Source organism: Homo sapiens, chromosome 20, assembly GCF_000001405.40.
Source record: "Homo sapiens chromosome 20, GRCh38.p14 Primary Assembly".
Lineage (NCBI taxonomy): Eukaryota > Metazoa > Chordata > Mammalia > Primates > Hominidae > Homo > Homo sapiens.
Genome location: NC_000020.11, coordinates 11,416,317 through 11,443,953, shown reverse-complemented (window position 1 = coordinate 11,443,953; position 27,637 = coordinate 11,416,317). Strand labels below are relative to the sequence as shown.

The 27,637-nt window shown below is 36.8% G+C and overlaps 1 long non-coding RNA gene across 1 annotated transcript in view; it reads left to right on the top strand.

The window, feature by feature from the left end:
• The first annotated feature begins 16,659 nt into the window (after positions 1–16,659).
• LOC105372529 (uncharacterized) overlaps positions 16,660–27,637 on the top strand; it is a 117,487-nt gene continuing 106,509 nt past the window's right edge. The window contains exon 1 of the long non-coding RNA XR_937261.2: positions 16,660–16,716. This is a non-coding gene — a long non-coding RNA (uncharacterized LOC105372529). The remainder of the gene's footprint in view (positions 16,717–27,637) is intronic.

Here is a 27,637-nt window from a genome sequence, read left to right as displayed (position 1 = left end):
GGCTCAAAAAACCAAATTCCTCTGGCAAGAAAAGGACATTGTGGAAAAGGAGAAAAGATCCAGAAAGCTCTTGTACTAAGACCCCTGCACCACTGGAGAGCTTATAACAAACCCTGGTAAAGGAATTAGAAAAGAATGTAAAAGAATTAGGAGAAACCCAGGCAGGTTAGAGTAACTGAAAAGACTCTAAATAAAATTACTACATCTTCAGTTGTACCGAGGAACAAGATAAAATCATCTCTCTGCCTCCATCTCCCACCACTTCTTGACCTGAGCTTATGGTCTGCTTTAAAAAAACCCACTTATAATTACCCCCTCCCAACTCTCATGCCATGACATTCTCATGTTACCTCATCTGAATTTTTCTCTTTGTTCTTCCTGAATCAATCCCACATACCTTTAAGAATGAACTGAAGCCCTTCCTGACCTCCTAGCCTAAGATAAGCTGCTTTCTTCTGGTCTCTTAAAACACCCTGTGTCTGCTTTTGTTAATTCATCTACCACGTGATAATAAAATTTGGTGCCTACATTTCTTTTCGAATTAAACTTCTTGAGGAGAGATTTAGCCCAATTCATTATTATAATTCCAATGTCTACAGTAATATGTAAACTAGTATGAAGACTCATTTGTTAAATGGAAGAACTTCTGCCACAGTTAAGCTGGGCTCAAAAGGAATAAATAAGAAAATAATTGCGTGATAACCCAGTCAACTCCAGTTATTCAACTAAATAAAGTACCCTGACGGTAGATGAGGAAGGACTGTCACATCAAGTGTATTTTATGGTTCCATTTGCTTCTGTTTTTTATGTCCATCAGAACAAGTTTACTTGTTTAGTTAAATTGACATTGCATTAGTTGAATGTCAAAAGTAATGTGTGCTAATGGGTCAGCCCAGGACTTTGTAGAGTACAATTCAGTGCCCAAACGAGGCTTCCTGTTGTGGCTGAAGCACAAGTCTTATATGGAAAGATCACTTCTTAAAAGGAGCATTTTGTTTAATCCGCTGAGACAGAAATCAAGATGTTCTATCTTATTTTTCCCTGTATCGTTGACGATTTTTAACTTTCAGTGATCCCTCAACTGCTTTCTCATCTGAAAAATGAGTTGATATTTACCATAATAAATAAGTGAAATAAAGAGAGATAAGTAAGTATCCAGAGAGATAAGATTAATGACTAGGTTACTACCACTATTTTTCCTGTATAAAAAATTTTGGCAGAACTTGAGGGTCAACAGTCAGAGTCTTGTGAAAATTACTGAGAATTCCTGAACAGTTATAATTAGTTCAGTAACATGATAAAATGGGTGTTTTCTAAAGATCATTTTCTCTTATTTCAGCTGAATTAATTGCTTTGTGGAGATAAGAAAAATATCTTTGGCCACGGTGGCAGTATTACTTTCCTGGGTGGAAATTTTATTCTTTAAAATTTGAACCATAAGATGCTTTAATTTAGAAAACTGGGGCCCCAAATTACTTAGGGAGCTCCCTTTACCACATCGTGTTTTAATTATTACTAATAAGATCTTGATTGTTGTAGATTTGTGAATATTTAAAATTATATAAAGTATAAGATGTGTCAAGTAAAAAAGATGGAAATCTCTTGAAAAGTCTAAATATGCAGCAACTATTACTCTTTCATTGACAGATTTTACCAATAAAATTAAGGCACTTAAATGCATGAACATGATCTAAATGCCATATCATTATAAATTACTTCCTGTGTTCTCAAGCCTAAAGATTATTCAAGATCCTGCTAAGAAATTAAAGCCACATGACATTCTGAAATAAAAGTGTGCAGATGCTTGAGGTATGTTCACTAAAGCATGCAAAAATAGTACTAAAGTTAACAAAATTTTATTTAAACTCTCTCTCTACATATATCTGATATATCACTTCTGTCCATTTTTGTTTAGGGAGAGAAACAGTCACCGTTTATGTGTTATTGCACTATGCCAATTTTGGGTGCTTCCACACAAAACTTAACTTCTTTAATCCTGGAGAAGAAGTATTCCCACTTTGTTTTGTGGAACTTTTTGATGATAGCTACCATATCAAAACTCCGAAGGCAGAGATGTTAAATCCTGTTGACATTTTTCTTTTTAGCCCATCACCTTCAGGTCATGACTGTCCAAAGATGTCCCCACTTGGCTGCATCCCCTAAGTTTGCTCTGTGACCTACCAGCTTGGGGTCTTACTTTCTGCTCTGAGGTTGGAATGCTCTTCCCTCCAGAATGTACACTTTCCACAATCTCTATTCGATCATGCATCTGGCATGACCCTGTGGAGCTCCAGAAGAGTGTGTCTTGGTTTTTTCATGTGGCACTTTTGTGAAAATACAGTGCTGGCTTTCCCCAGTCATCCTCTGGGAGTCTTGGGTCTGTTATTTTCTGATGTCTGTCGCAGTGTTTTATAAAGTCTGAAAAACCATCATTCTTTCTTTTTGCCTTGACTCAACAAAGCCCTTTCATGTAATATGACAAGACACAATGTGACATATAACCCTTGATTACTTAAAATAATAGATCCAGCCAGGCACGGTGGCTCACGCCTGTAATCCCAGCACTTTGGGAGGCCGAGGAGGGCAGATCATGAGGTCAGGAGATCGAGACCATCCTGGCTAACACGGTGAAGCCCCATCTCTACTAAATACAAAAAATTAGCTGGGCGTGGTGGCAGGTGCCTGTAGTCCCAGCTACTTGGGAGGCTGAGGCAGGAGGAGAATGGCGTGAACCCAGGAGGCAGAGCTTGCAGTGAGCTGAGATCATGCCACTTCACTCCAGCCTGGGCGACAGAGCGAGGACAACCTCTAAAACAAAGAGAGAGAGAGATCCAACTCTTTCTCAATAGATTGAGTCTATAAAATGGACACAATGTGTTAAACTCAAAGTTACAAATAATCTATATGTATGGAGGAAATCACAGTCAAGTTGGTAACAATATACTAAGCTGTTTTTGGCCCTTAAGTAGAGTTAGTCTACACTGAACCCTTCTCAACCAGCAGGGTTTTACACCTGGTATTTTCAGATAGCAAATTCAAAGAGGCTGCTGATGGGAATGGCAAGCCATATGCTATGACTTCCTTTTGATAATGAACACTGCTAAAAACTACTATAAACTGTGGATGGTGATAGCTATCTGTGATTGCATAAATAGCCATAATTCTCCTCCATGCCCTAAATTCACATGCTTTGAAATATGACTTTGCAGCTCCTACCATCAAAACATGGAGTTGAATTTCCCACCCCTTCAATGTTGCTTGGTCTTATAATTTGCTACGACAAGTACATTGTGATGGAAATGAGGTTGTGCGGCTTCCAAGCCCGGGTCTCAAGGCTCTTTCATGTTCCCACTTATTATCTTGAAACCCTGGCCAGCTGCCATGTGAGCAAACTCAGACCAGCCTATGGAGGATGAGTGACCATTTGGAGAAGATACAAGCCATCTCAGCTGTGGCCATCCTAAATCAGTCAATCTCAGCCTCCTGGTCAAATGGTGGCAGAAACATGAGTGAGGCCAGACAGGACAGAGGCGCCTGGCTGAGCCTAGTCCAAATTGCCAACCCATGTTATGAACTAAAGAAATAGTTATTGTCTCAAGCTTCTGTAGTATTCCTATCAAAATAATATAACCTGCATCTAATTGTTAAGAAACACACAGGAATATGCTTGTATAGATTAATCTTCATATATTTTTCAAATATTAATGACATACAAAACAAAGATAGCTGAGGAACTGTTTGCATTAAAGAATACTAAACAACATTAAAAACTAAATGCAATACATAAAATTGAATTGTGTCCTAGACTGAAAATAATAGCTACAAAAGACATTATTTTGAAAATGGACAGAATTTGACTTGGATTGTATTGTATATTAGATAATAGCAGATACTCTGACTTACATTAAAATTGCATACTGATGAAACCATTGTAAGTCAAAAACATCACAAGTCAAAAATGTATTTAATACTCCTATAAACCCATCTTAAAAATACATAAATTGAACCATCATAATCCAGATGCTTCTTGACTTTTGATGGGACTATATCCTGATAAACTAATCTTAAAGTTGAAAAACTGTAAGTCAGACCATTGTAAGTCAGAAACTGTGTGTATGGTAGCACCTGCTTATCCACGATTTCTCTTTTCATGGTTTCCATTACCTAGAGTACAGTACAATAAGATATTTTGAGAGAGAGAGAGAGAGAGTACATTCATACCCTTTTGTTATAGTATATTGTCATAATCATTCTATTTTATAACAGTTAATCTCTTCCTGTGCCTAATTTATAAATTAAACTTTATTATAGATGTGCATAGAAAAAAACAGTATGTATAGATGTTTCTCCACTTATAATGGGATTACATCCTTATAAACTCATTGTAAGTTGAATATATTGTAAATCGAAAATCCATTTAATACACCTAACCTGACAAACATCATAGCTTAGCCTAGCCCACCTTGAACATGCCCAGAACGCTTACGTTAGCCTGCAGTTGAGCAAAATCATCTAACCTGAAGCCCCTTTTATAAAAAAGTCTAGAATATCCCATTACTTTATGCAATACTGTACTGAAAGTGAAAAACAGAATGGTTTCATACCATCCTAAAGGCAAAAATAATCTTAAGTTGAACCATAGTAAGTTGGAGACAGTCTATATAGGGTTTAGTACTGTGTTTTCAGGCACCCACTGGTGGTCTTGGAATGCATCTCTTGAGAATAAGGGGGCACTATTGTATTCCATCAATATTAAATTTCTCCAATTTACTTTTGTTTTGTGGTTATGTAAGAAAATTTTCATATTCTTGGAAGATACACAGTGAAGTAATTAGAAATTAAGAGTTATGATGTCTGAAACAATCTCAAAAGTTTCGTCAGTATTAATAATTTCAAGTACAAATGCATAAATATATTTATATGTAGGTACATGCATACAGATAGAGATGTAGATCTATTTAGAGAGAGAGAGGAAACAGCAGAATGTCAATGACTGAGGAATATGGGTGACAGGTATTGTAAAGTTTATTGTAATTTTTTTGCAACTTTTTGCTACTTTTTTTTCAATATAAAAAGCTAAATAAGGTATAAATGCCTGTATAAAAATGGAATAAAAAATAGTGTTTGATATTATTTTACTTATAACTTTATAACTTGGGGAACATGAAGAGAGTGAGGGAAGAGGTGAGGTTTGTTTCCATTGTGAGCATGAAGAGGACATGCAGGTTTCTTTCTGTTTCTTTGTGCAGTGCCCATGAATGGACCGTGGGGCACTCTGTGATCCCTTGGGATCAACGAATGAAGGTTTCCTATACTCACTGACACTTGTCCTCTCTCCCCAGTGAATCAGCCAATTCCTCATGTCTTCGCGGCTCCATCTACTGTCATGCAGTCATAGCGCCACAATTCACATTTCCCAGGGGCTTTGAAACTATTTAATAGATAATCCTCATTCCACTTTAGGAAGGTAAGAAAATTTAGATGGACCATTTTACGGAAAGACAGAGATAGGGAACAAAGATTAAAAGAACCTTTAGTCATGGTGTAAGTCTGTATTAAAACTGAAAATACTCCTCTTTGGAGCTTCTAGTGAGGATTAATACAGTAATTCACTTTCAAATATTATACTATAGCGATCTTCAGAAACTAAACATTAGTAATCGCAGGCATCATGTGTTATTCTTTGCAATTATTATTTTGCTGCTTCTCATATCCCCTGAGGATGTTTCAACCATTAAGCTCCTTTTAGCTGTGGAGATTTACTGCCTTTGTTGTGTGTGACTGACTCACTAAACAATAACACGGGATAAAGATTTTTGCTTTTATTTTCTTTTGTTACCTTATGGAGTACACTGGGGTGTGACTCCAGTGCTAATGAAATGTTCAAAAAAAAAAAAAAACTTTAAGTCTCAGCATTTTGAATATGAATACTAAATCCCAAGTGACTAGAGTGGGACCAGTTGTGACCCCAAATTGGAAAATTTTAGAGTTCATGTTTCCTTCTTCCTTCATTTTACAAAGAATCACATCTAAACAATTTGAAAATTGTGCTAGACCATTCTTCAGAGACTGCTTCTGTTTCAAAAATGGGTGAGACTGAAGGCTTATATTGAATTCAACATGGATTTCACCTTGGCACATTCCTAAAGAGTGAATAACTGAAAGATGCAGGAGACAAAAATGCGGGAAGGTGGGCAGTGTTCTCCCATGCTTCCGCTGAAGCTCAGAAAAGCACTCTCAGAATTAGGCTATTTTGGAAGCCTTTGCAGGGTGAGATGTCAAATGGGTCCCAAAGGTCTAGAAATACAGACTTATGTCACTTAAATATTACAATAATTATGGTGTCCTGCTTTAAAAAAGACCTGAAGCTTGCCTGTGGATGGGGATGTTAGAAAGGTTGCTCTTGTGAGTGACTGTGAAGGGTGGAGAGAGGCTTACTTGAAATCAGAAAGTTGTAACACTGGATATGTATAGTTGTGGCTCCTAGTGAGCTGAAGTAGCCAGTAGATATTTGAGGTGTCTGCTTGTGTGCATTTTGTGGACAGTTACATAGTTCATTTCGACTGAGTGCAGTTTTCTGTATGCATATAGTGTTCTCAAGGATGAAATCTTGCATATGTGAAATCTTTGCCTTTGTGTCCCCACCCAAATCTCATCGTGTAGCTCCCATGATTCCCATGTGTTGTGGGAGTGGCTGAGTGGGAGATGATTGAATCATAGGGGTGGGTATTTTTCTGTGCTGTTCTTACAGTGGTAAATGGGTCTCATGAGATCTCATGGTTTTGAAAATGGGAGTTTCCCCACACAAGCTCTTTTTTTGCCTGCTGCCATCCGTGTAAGACATGACTTGTTCCTCCTTACCTTCTGCCATGATTGTGAGGCCTCCTCAGCCACATGGAACTGTGAGTCCAATTAAACCTCTTTCTTTTGTAAACTGCTCAGCCTTGGGTATGCCTTTATCAGCAGCATGAAAATGGACTAATATAGTAAATTGTTACCAGTAGAGTGGGGCACTACTGTAGATACCTGAAAATGTGGAAACGACTCTGGAACTTGGTAACAGGCAGGGATTAGAACAGTTTGGGGGGCTCACAAGAAGACAGAAAAATGTGAGAAGTTTGGAACTGCCTAGAAACTTCTTGAATGGCTTTGCCCAAAATGCTAATAGTAATATGGACAATAAAGTCCAGGCTGAGGTGGCCTCAGATGGAAATGAGGAACTTGTTGGGAAATGAGGAACTTGTTATGTTTTAGCAGATACTGGTTGCATTTTGCCTCTGCCCTAGAGATTTGTGGAACTTCGAACTTGAGAGAGATGATTTACAGTACCTGGTGGAAGAAATTTCAAAGCAGCAAAGCTTTCAAGAGGTGACTTGGGTGCTGTTAAAGTCATTCAGTTTTAAAGGAAAACAGAGCATAAAAGTTTGGAAAATTTGCAGCCTGACAATGAGATAGAAGAGAAAATTCCATTTTCTGAGGAGAAATTCAAGCCAGCTGCAGAAATTTGCAAAAGTAATGAGGAGCTGAATGTTAATCACCAAGACAATAGGGAAAATGTCTCCAGCGTGTGTCAGAGACCTTTGTGACAACCCCTCCCTTCACAGGCCAGGAGGTTTAGGAGGAATAAACGTCTTAAATATTGGGTCAGGCCCATGGTCCCTCCACTGTGTGCAGACTAGAGACTTGGTGCCCTGAATCCTAGCCACTCTAGTCATGAATAAAAGGGGCCAAAGTACAGCTTGGGCTATTGCTTCAGAGGGTGCAAGCCCCAAGTCTTGGTAGGTTCCACATGGTGTTGAGCCTTCGGGTGCACAAAAGTCAAGAACTGAGGTTTGGTTACCTCTGCCTAGATTTTGGATGATGCATGGAAACGCCTGGATGCCCAGGCAGAAGTTTGCTGCAGGGGCAGAGCCCTCATGGGGAACTTCTGGTAAGGCAATGAGGAAGGGAAATGTGGGATCAGAGCCACCACACAGAGTCCCTAATGGGCACCACCTAGTGGAGCTGTGAGAAGAGGGCTACCGTCCTCCAAACCCAGACCCCAGAATGGTAGATCCATCGGCAGCTTGCACCGTGCACCTGGAACAGCCATCAACACTCAATGCCAGCCTGTGAAAGCAGCTGGGAGGGAGGCTGTACCCTGCAATGCCACAGGGGCAGAACTGCACAAGACCATGGGAACCCATCTCTTGCATTAGCGTGACCTAGATGTGAGACATGGAATCAAAGGAGATCATTTGGAGCTCCAAGATTTGACTGCTGGATTTTGGACTTGCATGGGGCCTGTGGCCCTCTGTTTTGGCCAATTTCTCCCATTTGGAATGGCTGTATTTACCCAATGCCTGTACCCCCATTGTATCTAGGAAGTAACTAACTTGCTTTCGATTTTACAGGCTCATAGGTGGAAGGGAATTACCTTATCTCAGATGAGACTTTGGACTGTGGACTTTTGAGTTAATGCTGTAATGAGTTAAGACTTTGGGGGACTATTGGGAAAGCATGATTGGTTTTGAAATGTGAAAACATGAGATTTGGGAGGAGCCAGAGGCAGAATGATATGACTTGGCTCTGTGTCCCCACCCAAATCTCATCTTGTAGCTCCCCTGCTTCCCATGTGTTGTGGGAGGGACCCAGTGGGAGATGATTGAATCATTGGGGCTGGTCTTTTTCTGTGCTGTTCTTGTGGTGGTGAATGCATCTCATGAGATTTGATGGTTTTGAAAATGGGAGTTCTCTTCACAAGCTCTTTTTTTGCCTGCTGCCATCCATGTAAGACGTGACTTGTTCCTCCTTGCCTTCCACCGTGATTGTGAGACCTCCCCAGCCACGTGGAACTGTGAGTCCAATTAAACCTTTTTACTTTGTAAATTGTCCAGTCTCGAGTATGTCTTTATCAGCAGTGTGAAAATGAACTACCATAATATGCAAACACACAATTCATGTTATGCTCAGATTCTTCCATAGTCTATCAATATCACTGACACAAATTTATGTTTCCAAAACAAGACTTAGAGCAGGACTGGCTGTGTATCTATTAGTGGCTATTCATGGGCAGGGCAAGTCATGAACCACTGTACTTGTTCCAAGTCACCTAGCTGGTCATTGGCAAAGCCAGGGCTGCAACCTAGCTCTCTAGATGAAGAGCTGAACTATCTTACCAGGCCACTATGCTATCATATCTGTTTGTGAATACAAGGGATAAAGTGCAGAACATGGAAGTGCTTTGAAAGGTATAAAGTGATCAATGTTATATGCAACTAGAAAGGCTATGAGTCTTTTATTTTGTTCTCTATGACAAGAGAACAATATTTCCACTCTGTTTCTTGTTATAAATAACTTTGCCTAATCCTCTAGAAAAGCAAGTAAGCAGAAACAAGTTAACTAAACCTTAGGTCAAGAGGGAAATGGGAAGAACTAGCAAAAGGAGATAATAACTCTCAGGGATGGAAGCACCTAGCCAATTGGAAGGGTGTGAAAAAGCGTGGAAATAGAAAATGGGACTGACAAAATGTACCTTTTCTCTTACAAATTAACTTGTGTCTTTGTGACGACAGCATGTTTGGGTCAAGAGTTCTTGACTTTTGAAATATATCAAAATTCTTAAGGAGAAAGTTTTATAAAAATAGAGGTGTTTTTTTTGTGTGTGTGTATATGTGTGTGTGTATATATGTGTGTGTGTGTATACATATATATATATATATATTTTTTTTTTTTTTTTTTTGAGACAGAGTTTTGCTCTTGTTGCCCAGGCTGGAGTGCAATGGCGCGATCTTGGCTCATTGCAATCTCCACCTCCCGGGTTCAAGCAATTCTCCTGCCTCAGCCCCCCAAATAGCTGGGATTACAGGCATAAGCCACCAGTCCTGGCTAATTTTGTATTTTTAGTAGAGATGGGGTTTCTCCATGTTGGTCAAGCTGGTCTCTAAATCCCGACCTCAGGTGATCCGCCCACCTCGGCCTCCTGAATTGCTGGTGTTAAAGGTGTCAGCCACTGAGCCCAGCACATAAATACATATATTTATTAAGAGAAGGTGGTTCATGTGATTATGGAGGCTGAGAAGTCTCACAATTTGTTGTCTGTAAGTTAGAAACCCAGGAAATCTGGTGATGAATACAGATTGGATCAGAGAACCGGGGAGCAGATGGTGTGAATCCCACCTGGAAAGCCAGAGAAGATGAGATGAAATGAGACATCACAGCTCAGCAGTGAGGAAAGACAAACTGGGTGAATTCCTCCTTTCTCCACCTTTGGTTGGTTTCAGGCCCTCAAAAGACTGGATGATTCCCAAACACACTGGAGAGGACAATCCACTTTACTGAGTCCGCTGCTTCAAATGCTAATCTCGTCTAGAAATACCCTCACAGACACACTTAGAAATAATGTTTCATCCAGACACCCCTTGGCCAGTCAAGTTGCCACATAGAATTAACCATCATACTCAGTACTACTCATTTAGAATTTCTGATAATAGGGCACAAGTATGTGTATTTGTTAGGGCCAAGTGGCTTTGTTGAGCCTTTTGAGAAAATAACTATGAGAAGGGGAGATTTTGTAACCTGAAGACCATCACTTAGCCCTAAGGAAGACTACCTCATTTATTGGCCTAAAATCAGAATTGATGAATGGTCTGTTGATCATGATTGCAAATATGTCTCTAGTGGTCAGAGTATATACCAATGACTTTTTTTAAAAATGCAGTTCCTTGTTAAATGTTAAATGCAGCTCCTTCCATAACTCCCTTCCTATCCATGGAAAAGGAAGCTATGGCAGGAACTGCATTTAACATTTAACAAGAATATATTTCTGTATATATCCAGAAGTATATCCATATACTACACTACAGATATGTTTCTCTTTTCCCCACAGTCAACCATTTTAGTAGGCTCAGTTGGGGTACTTTTATTTGAATGTGTTACTGAGTTTGTACATTTTAAATTTTTATAGATGATATTGTTATACTGCTTATTCTTCTTCCAGTGTTTTCCACTAGGTCCTGTATTATTAAAATCCAGTCAGATTGCTTTATAGTCAGTTAATCCATTGCTTCTACTAATGATTTCAATGGTGTGTCTATATGGTAAATTTCAGTAGTTGATCCAGATCTGTATCTCTTCCTGTATTTATGCCCTTTGCTAAGTAAATTTTCAGGTCCCTCCCACGTGGACAGAGTGACCTGCCCCATCCCTTGAAACTGGTCTTGGCCATGTGATTTGCTTTGTGATAAATGCTGACTTGATATAAGCAGAAGCTTAAAAAAGCATTTGTGTGTTTCCACTAGTTCTTGTACCTCTGTCATTGTAATGAAAAGACATACTCAGCTTAACCTACTGGTCCCAGGAAGAGGATGAGCAATAACGTGGAACAGAGCCAACCTAGACGTGTATAAGTAAGCCAGCTGAACTGTGAATGTATGAGCAAGTCAGGCCCAGATCAATGGAATCCCACAGATGCATGAGAAATAAATGCATGCTATTGAGATTTTGTGGTTGTATGCAACATTATTGTGGCAATAACTAACCAATAGACTGTACTATGAGAATTTGTATTCTCTTGCTGATTTTGAATTCAGGATGTCAATTATGGGAAGGCTAATCATTTGACTCAAGAATAAAACAACTTACAATGTTTACATTTATTTAAAATATAATTTAAATATATTTGTGTGTGTGTGTATATATACATATGTATCTCCTGTGGAATAAGACAAGTTTCATATATGTGTGTGTATGTGTGTATATATACATACACACACACATATAACATGTATATATACACATGTGTATATATATACACACATATACATATATATATAAAACTTGCCATATTACACAGAGTATTTCCTTTCTTATTATTTCATTTTATCATCTCAAGCCAAAGAAGCAAGCAAAGTAGCCTTTAAGTCCATTCTTCTTTCTCCAGTGATTACTAACTCATGCTTTTGTTTCTTCAATTATTTTATCCTGGCCCTTCAAGATACATTAAATTCTTTACTATCACAACCTAATTCCACCAGCCTTAACAAGAATATTCAAAATAGCTTTATGTCAGTGCACTGGCACAGAGAGCCAACTATTTACTTACCATGGGGGAAAATCTTACAAATGTGCATATTTTAGGTCCATCTTGTGGTCATACTTCTGTGCCAGCCAAACCAAAATCTAGATAAAGAGGGAAAAAAAAAAGAATGCTGAAATGGCTAACTCCCATTGCTTCATTATGTGTATTTCAGCATAGTAATCCTTTGTACTGACATAAAAATGGCTACTATGTACACATGAATTGCAAAGAATTCTTGGTAATTTAATGCTACAAATATGGACGTGAGAAAATTACTTTGATGAAAAATTCACAGTGTAAAACTTGGAGGGATTATCCAGCTGGAGAAATAAAATGGAAGAAAATCCCAATTTTCCAGAACGGAACATTAGAAGGAAAGTTCCTGTTGGAAGCTCCATGGGTCTCAGTGAAAAATGACCAAGAGAATTAACAATGGTCCTGCCCTTTTGCTTGGGCCCTGCATAGGAGACAGCTATGACATCCAAGGGAATGCAACTATGTCAAATACGACAGAAGCAGAACTATCAGCTACTGACCAGGAGGCTGACTCTGCAACTGCTGCCCTACCAAAGAGGCTCTTGTGGCGGCACAACTTGCACAGCCACAATTTAAAGGAGATTTTCTTGAGAAGCAATACAAAGCAGAGAACAGTAGTGGATGGAAAGTTAAAAGACCAGGTTCCTAGTTCTGGCTCATTCGCAAACTTCTATGTAATTCTGGACAAGTTATTCAACTTCCCTCTGCATCTTTCACCTTTGTCTGTAAAATTAGAACAGGAATGACAATGAGTTTTTCCTAGGATGCCAATATCTTGTGCTTCAGTAAAGAGAGAGGAAGAGGTGTTGTAGGCAACTTGCTTTTGCTATGCCTATAGACCTGATTGTTAAGATGCATTCCTGGTTCTGTGACTGACCATCCTCTCTGAAAAGCAGCCTGTTCATTGCTTTTAATATTACAAATACTCAAGCAAACCGGAAAGGCCAACATTTCTCCCAGCATTCCCTAAAAAAGATCAAAGAAAGGTAAGAATAATGCACAGTAAGCCTTTTCCGTGCTGATGGATCACACAAGGAGAAGGAAGTCAAAATAATCCATCTCCATCAACCTTCTGTAGCCTCCCTTGCCCTTACACCATTTGTTTAAAAATTACACTGACCTACCATGAAGAGCTGCTTTAGAAATCAGGGACTACCGTCCACCTGAGCTCCCTCCCTGGAGGAAAGGCCAGAACACTGGATTTGCTCCTCCACATTTCCACCTAGAGCAGATTGTATGTGTTTTAAAAGTGATGAGTTGTGATGGGGCCACTGCTTTGATATGGTCTTTGGTGGCCCTTGTGTCAAACAGTAGCCTTGAACACCACTCCAGGGAGAAGAAGGAGCAGAGAGGTCAATGCATGGTAATGTCGAGGGTAATGTGTCAGCTCATAAGTCTTCAGAATCTCCTGCCATGAAAAACAGCTGCAGCTTGCAAATGTCTGAAGCCTGAGCTTTTTCTGTCTTCTTGTTTTGTCCTTACGTGAAAAACTGTAACTAGATCCACTTCTGCTCAGCCTCAAAGGCAACCCATTTAACAAGTAGGCCCTGGGCCTGCCTGGTATTTGAGAAGAAATGCAATGTATCAACACCCTGCAGCATTTCATCTTACAGCAGCTTGGGCTGGCCACTTTTCAGCCTGGCTTGCTCTGCCTCTGGCATTGGGTGTGCTGCCCTGTCCCCATTAGCGTGTCATTAGTGCCATTAATGAAAATCCGGTTTTACACACTGAAAAGTGATCCGAAGCAGTCTTGAGGAAATGCTATAAAGCCTGCCCCTGCTGTTAGCAGGAGCCTCTGGCACACCTGCAGTTTTGACAGGGCTCTTAAAAGGTTCTCTCTCCTTGAATGGAAGGAGGTGCAGCAAGTATAAATAGTATAATAAATAGTACAATTAGCTTCATTCTGGGGCTGTGAAAGCCCTTCTCTGCATCAATATAAAGCCTGTGCATTCTATGATGAAACAGTGAAATGTTAGCATTTTGTAGTTTGAGGAAACTGGTCATTAACCCGAAGAACACGAATGGTACGCCAAGCCCAACAGTCTTAAATAATTCTCTGTGGCATTTTCCTGAAGCACAAGTAAAGAAATAAAAAGTGTTAATTTAAAATAATCATCTGTTTAGTGATAAACTCAAGCATAAATTAAGGAATCTCTTTTATACTATGCAATATCATGGAAAGAAGGCAGAGGCAATATTTTTTAATCCAAAGACTCAATATGGTATAGTTCAGTGAAGTTAGAAAAGCAAAAAGAAAAACTTCTGTTATTATTTCAGTAAGAAAGATACTCTTAATACTGAAATGCAGAATGAAGGCAAGGGACGGCCCCTGAACATTCATATGTACCTGAGAACAAAGTGAAGCTGTGAAATTTCTTTGAACACCATCTCAGCAAAGGTACATAGGACTGTGGCCATGACAATGAGGAAGAAAGTGGGTCGTATGAGTGAGACATTGATAAAACACAACTGAACTGTCTGGGACAGGGTTGTTCTGGTTCCATACTGCTGCCCTGGGGGATTATGAGTCAGCTCAGTGTCTGAGATGGAAAACCAAGGAGCAAAAATGACAAGTCACTGAGATCACAAAAGTGACAAAGGAAGCCAGGATGCAAGAAAGATTCAAGGATCATGGCTGCTGCCAAATTCTGCAGTTCTTTCATCCTAATTTGAAGCCTTAGTATTTTCCTTAGTGTAATTCAAGGTGTCTGTTCCTGTGCCTGCCTCTCTATCAAGTCACTATTCATGGGTTCTTTTTTAAATTTAATGTTTAAATTTCATTTATTATGTTAAAAAGTTATACAGGTAATCATAACTTATGTGTTGTTTGATATCTAGAAATTTAAATAGTAGCATTTACTATCTTTTTGAGTTTTGATTTGACAAGCAGATTTTGAGCTTTATTTTTCTCTTGTGTAATTCATTCACAAAGCGAATATCAGTTTATAGGTAGCTTGTGGTGTCCAGATAGGGAATCCTTGCTTGAACAGAGTGTAAACCATGCAAATAAAAATAATAAATCAAAGATAGGAGTTGAATGATTTTTTTCTTACTCAAACATACAATTGTATGAAAAACAAATTTTTTTTTCCAAAAAAATACAGTGTGGTTGCTTTTTATGTATATTTAATTTCTATGAATTTCAATAATACAAAATGATTTAAAAGTCTATATTTATTAATTTTATTTTTGTTTATTTAAAATTATTTGTTTCATTTAGTTACTTATTTTTAAATTGGGAAATAAAATTATATATATTTACCTGTGCAATATGATGTTTTGATATATGCGTACACTGTAAAATGGCTCAATCAAGTTAATTAACATAGACCTTACTTCACAAACTTGTCATTTTTCTTGGTGAGAAAACCTAAAAACTACTCTCTTAGCAATTAGGAGTAATCTTAGGAATAACTTCAAGAGATCTATTGTACAACATAGTGACTATAGTTAATAGTAATATACTGTATTCTTGAAAATTGATAAAAAAGTAGTCCTGGGTTCTTGGGCAAATTATTTAATCTTTCTAAATTTCTGTTGCTTCATCCATGATGGGAATAATAAACTCTACCCATCTCATGGAATTTCCATGATGATTACCAGTCAGATGTGGCATTTCTTTTTTTTTTTTTTGCCATAGTAATATTAACTACAGAACTTTCTAATGACAGGTATGCCGGATTGCTGGGAAAAAGGCAAAAGGTTTGATACCTTGAGTGTGTATAAATATAGGGCAAAAATATTAGGATGTGTTAAACACTGTATTGTGGTATTTAGGAATCCTAGTTTTATAATCAGATGGGTGGGAGTTTGAATAAAATTATGGGCCTTTCTAGCTGCGTATCTATGAACATGACAGTAAACCTATCTAAGCCTTGGGTTCTTGCTCTATAAAATGGGATAATGATAGTATCTGATAAAATCAAGTAAGATGTTATATACATAATTTAAATTTCAGTCCAGTGGCTTGCAATAGGAAACATACAATAACTTCTTACTATATATTTAATAAAAGTGATATATACATATATACTTTTGAAAGACAGTTGAGTATGGATATAAGCACAGTCTTAGAGATGTATTCAATATTGAAAGAGTATTGAAAAATTAAAAGAACAGAAAAGAACAGCAATAGATTAATAACGCATCCCTTGAAGAAGGAAAACGAAATAAATTACAGAGGAAGTTGTTTTATTTATTCCTCCTGAAGCAGTAGTTTCAACTCTGTATTTAAAGACCTCTTCCCAGTAGATATGCATTCAGTTATTTCGTGGCTGAATATTTCCAATGATAACAAATTTTTATATCTCAAGTTATCAGATTCTAGTTTTTCAGTAATACTCGTTTTAAAATAGATTAATCTCACATTCTCTCCAAATAAGCCTGCCTCTTACTTTCACTCTTCTGACTGAGTTTTATACCTGTTATAGTTCTGAATCAATCAGAGATCTTTTCCACTGACAGCCCTTCACATTTTTGAAGTCATAGGAAAAACATGTTCCTCCCTCTTTAGGAAGTCATAACTTAGCTCATAAAGCAGTGCCTCTGCCCTTTCAAATGTTTGGGAAAGAACAGTGATCCTCTTCAACAGCTCCCTCTCCAAGGGATAAACACATCTAGAGGTTAGTGATGAGGCCTTTTTTCTCTCTCTGTTCTTGAAATTGGGGCTTGATGTAAGGGCGGGAGTGATCCCATTTCAGCTGAAAAGCAAAGGTCAGCTCTGCAAATTCCTTTTCATGGGGGGTCATTACAAGGTCCAGACTTAAAAGGAAACACTAGAAATACTGACTAAGGCTACTAGCAGAACTGGCTACATAATCTGCAGAGCCCCGTGCACGGTTAAATGCAGAGCTCCCTTTTCAAAAATGGTGACTAATTTGAAAGTGTTGAGGGAGTAGCATTAAACCAAGGGCTGGTCTCTTCTAAGTGCGGGATCCCATGTGCGCCCTGGCTACCAGACAAAGTGTTTTTTCTTCACTTAATTTTATAAGTTGTAAAGTTAGTATTTTTAAATTTCTATCTGTCTAATACCTATGGTTTCTTAGTTGGCTGTAAACTCATCGGGCTTAGCAGGGAAAGGTGTGGGTGGTTTGTCAAGCTACATGTAAGAATGTGATTGTCTCTCCAGAATCTTTTTTTTCTAGGTAAAAAAAGTTTTGACAACTCAATGGAATAAATTAAGCCTTTAACTCAATGGAGTAAAATAAGCCTTTAAATGGTTACTAATGCTCTGCGATATGTAAAAAAAATACGTAACACGTAATGAGATAAAAGCAAAATATAGCACTAAACATCAAGTGATTTAAATTATTTAAAAACCACAGACATGGCTTATAAGAGACGATTACAGAGAAATGATAACAGTTGATATATCTGGATGATATAATTATGAAGGGTTTTTTTCTCTTATAAATGTCTTCGTATGTGAAAAAATTATTAAGTAAACCTGAATGAAGCTGCAAGAATCTTAAACATATAGCCTGAAATTCTCAAAACAATGAGAGAAAATTTCTCAGGATTAAAGAGGTCATACATCATCAGGATAAGAAGGTCTGTTGAGCAGAATGAATTGTAAAAGATATAGCTATTCACATATTGTGGTTAAATTTCGGAATGACAAAAAAAGAATGGTCAAAGATCCTAGTGTTTGGAGATTTGGAACAGATACATGCAAGAGTAAGTGGAGGGGAAATAAATGTACCGCCATATTTCCCAGTGCTATCATTTACATGTGAAAATAAAGAAATATACTTTCAGACATGCATTTATTCAGGAGTCTTATCATACCTAGACTTTCTCTAAAATATGCAATAGCAGATATGATCCAGTAGAGAAACAAACGAATCCAGTGTACAAGAAACAATAGTAAGAAAACCAGAGAATCCTATTGGTATCTCTAAATAACTTGTTAAAATATTTGAGGTTAAAAATCTCAGCTGAAAGACACAGCCCAGCAGCATGGTGGAATCACAAACACACCAGCTCTGGAATCAGCCAGCCAGGAACAAAATTTAGTTTGGGGTGACCTTCGGCATGGTACTTAACCTCTTCCTGCTTCAATTTTCTCATTTGTGAAATAGAAATGAGATATCATTTCTCATTTTAATCATGAGTATTAAAGAGGTTAATATAGATTTAATACCTGGAAGAACATCTAACATATAGTAAACAAAACAAATTTAGTTATTCTATAGATGGTAGTGTACATAGAAGGCTAGAGAGCTGAAATAATATTTTTATCTTATTCAGGGGGGATGGATTAACTGTAGTCTTTTGTTTTGTTTTAGAAAATCAGTGGCATATGACTAGGACAATATATCATGATGACATTGATTTATTCCAGAAATTTAAAGTTGGCTTATCCTTCAAAATTCAACTAAGACACTTACAACACTAACAGAAAAAAGAAAAAAAAATTTCTTAATTAATGGGGGAAAATATTTAAATGAAATTATATATTCATTAATGATTAAAAAGAAACTATTAGCACAACAGGTATAGGCAACAACTTTTAAGATCTGATAATAGTGTCTACACAAAACCTACAATAAACAGCACACAATGAAAATTGTCATTTGTTCCTTTAAAATTAAAATCTGAATAAAATAAAGGTGCAGCTATAGACTAGATGTCCTAGGTAAGACCTAGATAAGAAAAATAAACTGTTTAGAAATTGAATAGGAAGGAAGAAAAGTTTTATTATTTGCAGCTAACATGGTTTTGTACATTAAAAAAACAAAATACTCTGTAGACACATGGGTAGAATTAATACATTAATGTAACAAGGCCTTTGAATAGAAGGTTAATGTAAAAATCATATTTACTTCTGGACATCAGCAATAAATACATAGGTAATTCAATTTTGATAAAATAACACTTAAAATACTATCAAAAACATCAAATAGCTCCAAATATATCTAATAATAGGCATGAAAGACCTCTACACTGAAAACAGTAACATGCTATTGAGAAGAAATTTTGAAAGACCCAAAGAGATTATATGCATGGAATAAAAGACTAAACATTTTAAAATTTCAGTGTTCTCCAAATTGATTTAAAATACAGTGTAATTTAATGCAACATTTTTATCAGAGTTTTGATTATAAAAATTTAGAATCAAAGTTCCTTTGGAACTGCAAAAGAACTAGAATGGCCAAAGTGGTTGTTATTGTTATTAAATACAAACTAGATGACTTGTACTATCAGATATTAAGGCCAAATATATAGTATACGTATTAAGATATTGTGATATAGACACCAGGTAAATCAATAAATCAACAAAACAAACAAATGGAAAAGAATAAAGAAACCAGAAACTGCTCAACACATGTATGGTCATCTGATTTGTGTCAGAGGTAACACTAGTACAGTGGAGTAAGAATGGTGATTTTAGTATATGGTTTTGTGTTTTTGTATATTGATATAGAAAAATATATATGAATATATACATATATGTGTTGATTCCTATCTCATACCATACATAACAACAATTCCATAAAGATTGAAGGTCTAAATGTGAAAAGTAAAATATAAAGCTTTTAGAAAGAAAATGAGAAAATAGCTTCATGGCATTGTAGTAAGTAAAGACTTCTTAAACAAGACCCAAAAGGCTATTTATTTTTGAAAATGATGAATTGAATTTCATATATATATATATATAATGTGTCAACTAGTTATATATAACATACATCTAGTTATTTCCATAATATTGCTGCATATTCACTCAAAAATATATGTATATAGGTATTACATTAATATATTACATATATAAGTTGTTTCCATAATACTGCTGCAGATATGTATATATATTACAAAAATATATGTAAATAATAGTTAAAAATTGGAAATGACCCAAGTGCCTATTGATAGTAAGAAGGATATATAGATTGTGGAACATTTACAAAGTTGAGTATTATATAGCTCTGAGACTCCATGAACTATCTGCAACAGGAATCCATGAGCAATGAAACTCCATGAACCTATACTCAACAACATGGTAGAATATCAAAAACATAATGCTGAGAGAAGCCAGAAACAAAAGAATATATGCAGTATGGCTTAATTAATATAAAGTATGAAACAGCCAGGAATAACCTATCTGCTAGAAGTCAGGAAAGTGGGTACTCGTGCTTGGGTATAAGAACTACATGGTGGCATGTAGCTTTGCTGCTGGCATGATGATTATACCAGTGAGCTGTAAAATCCATCAAAGTGTACACTAATGATTTTTGTATTGTTCGTCACATATGTTTTATTTCAATTAAAAACTTATGAAAAACTCCTGGGCAAAAAGGCCAAATAGGAACAGCTCTGGCCTGCAGCTCCCAGAGAGACCAATGCAGAAGAGGGGTTATTTCTGCATTTCCAACTGAAGTACCCAGTTCACTTCATTGGGACTGGTAAGACAGTGGGTGTGGCAGAGGGTAAGCAGAAGCAGGATGGTGCATCACCTCACCCGGGAAGCACAAGGGGTAGGGGAACTCCCTCCCCTAGCCAAGGCAAGCCGTGAGGGACTGTGCCTGGAGGGATGGTGCTATCTGGCCCAGATACTATGCTTTTCCCACAGTCTTCACAACCCACAGACAAGGAGATTCCCGTGGGTGCCTACACCAACAGGGCCCTGGGTTTCAAGCACAAAACTGTATGGCTGTTTGAGCAGACACCGAGCTAACTTCAGGAGTTTTTTTCATACCCCAGTGGCACCTGGAATGCCATTGAGACAGAACCATTCACTCCCCTGGAAAGGGGGCTGAAGGCAGGGAGCCAAGTGATAAAAACTCAATGCAAATAAACTAGAAAATCTAGAGGAAATGGATAAATTCCTGGACATATACACCCTCCCAAGACTACCCCAAGAGGCAGTCATATCCCTGAATAGACCAATAGCAAGTTCTGAAATTGAGGCAGTAATTAATAGCCTACCGACCAATAAAAGTCAAGGACCAGATGGATTCACAGCCGAATTCTACCAGAGGTACAGAGAGGAGCTGGTACCATTCCTTCTGAAACTATTCCAAACAATAGAAAAAGAGGGAAGACTCCCTAACTCAGTTTATGAGGCAGGCATCATCCTGATACCAAAACCTGACACAGACACAATAAAAAAAGAAAATTTCAGGCCAATATCCCTGATGAACATCAATGCAAAAATCCTCAATAAAATACTGGCAAACCAAATCCAGCAGCACATTAAAAAGCTTATGCATCACGATCAAGTCAGTTTCATCTCTGGGATGCAAGACTGGTTCAACGTAAGCAAATCAATAAATGTAATCCATCACATACCAATGACAAAAACCACATGGTTATCTTGGGAGTATTGGGAGGGTGTATGTGTCCAGGAATTTATCCATTTCTTCTAAATTTTCTGGATATCTCAATAGATGCAGAAAAGGCCTTTGATAAAATTCAACACCCCTTCATGCTAAAAACCCTCACTGAACTAGGTATTGATGGAACGTATCTCAAAATAATAAGAGCTATTTATGACAAACTCACAGCCAATATCATACTGAATGGGCAAAAGCTGAAAACATTCCCTTTGAAAACCAGCACAAGACAAAGATACCCTCTCTCACCACTCCTATTCAACATAGTATTGGAAGTTCTGGCCAGGGCAATCAGGCAAGAGAAAGAAATAAAGAGTATTAAAATAGGAAGAGAGGAAGTCAAATAATCTCTTTTTGCAGAATGACATGATTGTATATTTAGAAAACCCCTTCGTCTCAGCCCCAAAACTCCTTAAGCTGATAAGCAATTTCAGCAGTCTCAGGATACAAAATCAATGTGCAAAAATCACAAGCATTGCTATACACCAATAATAGAGAGCCAAATCATTAGTGAACTCCCATTCACAATTGCTACAAAGAGAATAAAATACCTAGGAATACAACTTAAGAGGGATGTGAAGGGCCTCTTCAAGGAGAACTACAAACCACTGCTCATGGAAATAAGAGAAGACATGAACAAATGGAAAAACATTCCATGCTCATGGATAGGAAGAATCAATATCATGAAAATGGCCACACTGCCCAAAGTAATTTATAGATTCAATGCTATCCCTGTCAAGCTACCATTGACTTACGTAACAGAATTTTAAAAAACTACTTTAAATTTCATACGGAACCAAAAATGAGCTCGTATAGCCAAGACAATCCTAAGCAAAAAGAACAAACCTGGAGGCATCACGCTACCTGACTTCAAACTATACTACCAGGTGACAGTAACCAAAACAGCATGGTACTGGTACCAAAACAGATATATAGACCAATGGAACAGAACGGAGGCCTCAGATATGACACCACACGTATACAACCATCTGATCTTTGACAAACCTGACAAAAACAAGCAATGGGGAAAGGATTCCCTATTTAATAAATGTTGTTGGGAAAACTGGCTAGCCATATGAAGAAAATTGAAACTGGATTCCTTCCTTACACCGTATATAAAAATTAACTCAAGATGGATTAAAGATTTAAATGTAAGACCTAAAACCATAAAAATCCCAGAAGAAAACCTAAGCAATACCATTCAGGACATAGGCATGGGCAAAGACTTCATGACTAAAACACCAAAAGCAATTGCAACAAAAGCCAAAATTGACAAATGGGATCTGATTAAGCTAAAGAGCTTCTGCACAGCAAAAGAAACTATCATCGGAGTGAACAGGCAACCTACAGAATGGGAGAAGATTTTTGCAATCTATCCTTCTGAAAAAGGGCTAATATCCAAAATCTACAAGGAACTTAAACAAATTTACAAGAAAAAAAAAACCCATCAAAAAGTGGGCAAAGGATATTAACAGACACATTTTAAAATAAGACATTTACATGGCCAACAAACATGAAAAAAAGCTCATCATCACTGGTCATTAGCGAAATGCGAATCAAAACCACAATAAGATACCATCTCACACCAGTGAGAATGGAGATCAGAAAACAACAGATGCTGGAGAGGATGTGGAGAAATAGGAACACTTTTACACTGTTGGTGGGAGTGTAAATTAGTTCAACCATTGTGAAAGACAGTGTGGCAATTCCTCAAGGATCTAGAACTAGAAATACCATTTGACCCAGCAATCCCATTATGGGGTGTATACCCAAAGGATTATAAATCATTCTACTATAAAGATATATGCACAGGTATGTTTATTGCAGCACGATTCACAATAGCAAAGACATGAAACCAACCCAAATGCACATCAATGATAGACTGGATAAAGAAAATGTAGCACATATACACCATGGAATACTATGCAGTCATAAAAAAGAATGAGTTCGTGCCCTTTGCAGGGACATGGATGAAGCTGGAAACCATCATTCTCAGCAAACTAACACAGGAACAGAAAACAAAACATCCCATGTTCTCACTCATAAATGGGAGCTGAACAATGGGCACAGGGAGGGGAACATCACACACCAGGGCCTGTCAGGGGGTGAGGGGCAAAGGGAACGATAGCATTAGGAGAAATACCTATGTAGATGATGAGTTGATGGGTGCAGCAAACCACCATGGCACATGTATACTTATGTAACAAACATCCACATTCTGCACATGTATCCCAGAACTTAAAGTATAATTTTAAAAAAAGAAAAAAAAAAGAATTACACCAAAATTAAAAAAATGTAAAAAGCAATTTTCATGTATACATTTTAAATTTTATTTATATTATACATTTTTATATATAAATAAATATATATTTTTATTATATATACCATGAACAAATAGAAAATATTTTAATATGCTATTTATGATATCAAAAGAAGTCAAATTATGATTAAAAAATGTTTCAGAATTCTACCCAGCAAACTACAGTGCATAATTTAAGAAATAAATTGAAGATGTACTATGTCCATACATTTAATCAGAACAAATAATATTGTAAAGATGTCAACTCCCTTCAAAAGATCTTTGAACTCAATGTAATCTCAATCAAAATCGTGTGTGTGTGCATAAGTGCACGCACACACATACAGTATGTGATTAAATGTGTCAACTAGTTATTTCTATAAAATTGCTGCATATAAAATTATCCAAAAATTCAGAGGCTTAAAAGAGCGAGCACTTCTCTTGTTTTAACTCTATCAAATAAAGAGTTTAGAGGTCATAATTCCTATCCTTATCATAAGAAAGAATTGGATAAACTGAAAATTTGTGACTTTTCCTGGACACATCAGAGAACTGAGATTTCAGGGAAAACCAACACCCTGGAATCTGGAGAGAAAGGGGCACCTAGAGAGAGTCATAGCAGACATCTATTTACCTAGAGCAGTATCTACTGCAGTCATAAACTGGTAGGAACATTTAAATGGCAATTTTGATGAATTGCTGGAGGCTGAGTATGGACTAGAATGAATTTGAGAAACTACTGTGAGGGACGGTCTTGGTGGGTAAAGGTGTGGGGAGGAGGAGAGTCACACTTTCTAGGCTTTACCTTCAGGAGAACCCCACCAGTTTCTCGCAGTGAGAATCCGAAAATATTGACTCTCATGGTTCTGGTAAAGGAGCAAATGTGTAATAGTGAAAGCCTCCTTCATATCAAAGCCTTACTCTCCAGGAGAGAAAACTGTCACAGTTTTGTCTCAGCTGAGGAAAAGGCTTGATCTTGGTGCCACCAGTTTTTCTGTCTCACCTAAGGGGAAAAAGTTCACACAGTTAAGAGGGAGGTAATTGGCTTTAAGGAGATAAACTGGGAACACTTCAGCCAAGAACTGTGGTAGGGATGTAGGGGAAAGCTGTAGCACTATAGGAAAATTCGTGAAACTCACAGTCCTGAGACACAGACCCACTAAAAGACTGAGACTTAATGGGAAGACTATAGGATGCTTCCCACCTCTCAAATTTTACCACTGCATCTACAGGGCTCAAAGTGTAACAGTGAATTATAACTAGAAAAGCTACAATTACTCTTCTTTGAGGAAAAGTAATTATGAAAATCAAATATCAAAAGAGAACAAAACAAGGACATTACAGAAATGTTGTGACTCTGGCACCTATAGCTACAGCAAGCACTTAACAAAGCCAAACCCCTGTGCAGATTAACATAAATGCCCTCACTAACAGTCCATTTCTCTATTACCTAATACAGTACGTCCAACTTTCATCAAAAAATTTCAAGACCTGCTAATAAGTAAACAGATAAAAAACAAAATGAAACATTCTGAAGAGAGGCAGCAATGAAGCAATCATCACAACCAGATTCGGATATGAATCAGATAATCCTGGAATTATCAGACCTGAAATTCAAAGTAATTATAATTAATAGGCTAAGGCCGCTAATGGACAAAGGAGACAACATGCAGGAAGAGATAGGTAATATAAGCAGAGAGATGGAAACTCTTAAAAAGAATCTAATTAGAAGCACTGTAAGAGAAATGCAGAAAACTTTTGATGGCTGGATCAGTAGATTTAACATGGCTGAGGGTAGAGTAAGTAAGCTTGAAGATAGTCCAATAGAAACTTTCCAAACTGCAATGCAAAAAGAATGAAAAAGACAAAACAGAATATCCAGGAAGTGTGGGACAATTTCAAGTGATATAATACTCACGTAATTTGGATACCCCAATGGAAATTAAGATAGAATGAAGCAGAAAAAATATGTGAAGTAATAATGACCAAAATTTTCTATAACTAATAAAAGATACTAAATGGTACATCAAGGAAGCTCAGAGAACACCAAGCAGCACAAATATCAAACACACACACACACACACACACACACACACACACACACATCTCTAAGCATATTATATCATAAACTGCAGACAACCAAAGACAAAAAATTCTGAAAGACGTCAGAGGGAGAAAAAAATCACCTTATCTATAGAGAAAAAGGTTAAAATTACAGCAGACTTCTCACCAGAAACCATGAAAGCAAGAATTAAAATTAATTAAATTTTAAATTTAATTAATTTAAAATAAATTAATTAAAGTGATTAAAAAAAGCAAACATTAATCTGGAACTCTATATCTAGTAAAGCTATGTTTCAAAAATGAGGGATATTGACTTTATCAGACAAAAAATACTGAGAGAATTAATCACTAGCAGGCCTGACTTGCAAGAAATGCTAAAAAATTCTTCAGTTAGAAGAAAAATATTATAGGTCTGAAAATTTGCTATACATAAAGGAAGAGCACTGGAGAAGAAATAAATAATGGTAAAGAAAGATATTTTATTTTTCTTATTCTTCATTTATTTAAAAGATAACCATTTCTTTAAAGCAATAATAGCAGCAGTTTATTAGATAATTGTAATATATGGAGCAGCAACACAGATGACAGCAATATCACAAAGGGTAAGAAGGAAGAACTGAAAAAACCCTGGATAAGATAACCTCACTATATGTGAAGTGGTGTGGCATTATTTGAAGGTGAATTAATATCAGAACATAAGTGCATAAGTCAAGACTACATGCTTTTAAGAAACCATGATGATATAGTTAGAAAGGAGATAAAATGAACTCACATGAAATGCTCAACTAAAACCATAGAGGGCAGAAAAAGAGAGGAAGATTTAAAAAACAAAATAAACTAAGTACAATTGCAAGATATCGAAAACAGTCACAAATATGGCAAATATTATTATGACTATATCAATAATCACTTTAAATGTGGATGGTCTAAAAAGTCTACTGAAAATAGTGATTTCCAGAGTAGGTTTTAACACTAGAGACACAACTCTATGTTGTCTACAAGAAATCTACTTTAAATATAAACATTTCATTAAGTGTAAAGAGATGAAAAAATATATACTATGTTAAACCTAATCAAAAGAAATTTGGAGCAGCTATATTAAATTTAGACAAAACTGATTTCAGAACAAGGAAGATCATGAAGGATAAAGAAGAACATTGTATAATGATAAAGGGTCCATGCTCCAAAAAGACAGCAGTTCTAAACATATATGCACCTACAAACAGAATATCAAAACATATGAGACAAAAACTGATAGAAATAAAGGTGAAATAGAATAGTCACTATAATAGTTAAAAACCTTAGCATGCCTTTTTCAGTAATTGTTAGATCAAGGAGGCAGAAAATTAGTAAGGATATAATTGATCTGAATAGCACTATTGAGCAACTTGATCTAATTGAAATGAATAGAATACTGTAAATATGGATGTCAGAACATACATTCTTCTGAAGCTCACATGGAACATTCATCAAGATAGATTACATTCTAAGCCATAAATTACATCGTAATAAATTGAACAAATATAGATTATACAAAGTATGATTCCAGACCATAATGGAATTAAACTAGAAATCAATAATAGAAAGATAGCTGGAAAATCTACATTATTAGGAAATTAAAAGAATTCTAAATTACCCATGTTCAAATAAGAAAACTAAAAAAAAAATACTTAAAAAATTTGAACTAAATGAAAATGAAGATGCAGTTCACCAAAATTTGTGGGATGCAATAATAAAGACATGGATTCAACCTAGGTGCCCATCAATGGTGGACTGCATAAAGAAAATATGGTATATATGCACCACATTTTTATGGAATACTTAGTATTCCATACTATGCAGCCATGAAAA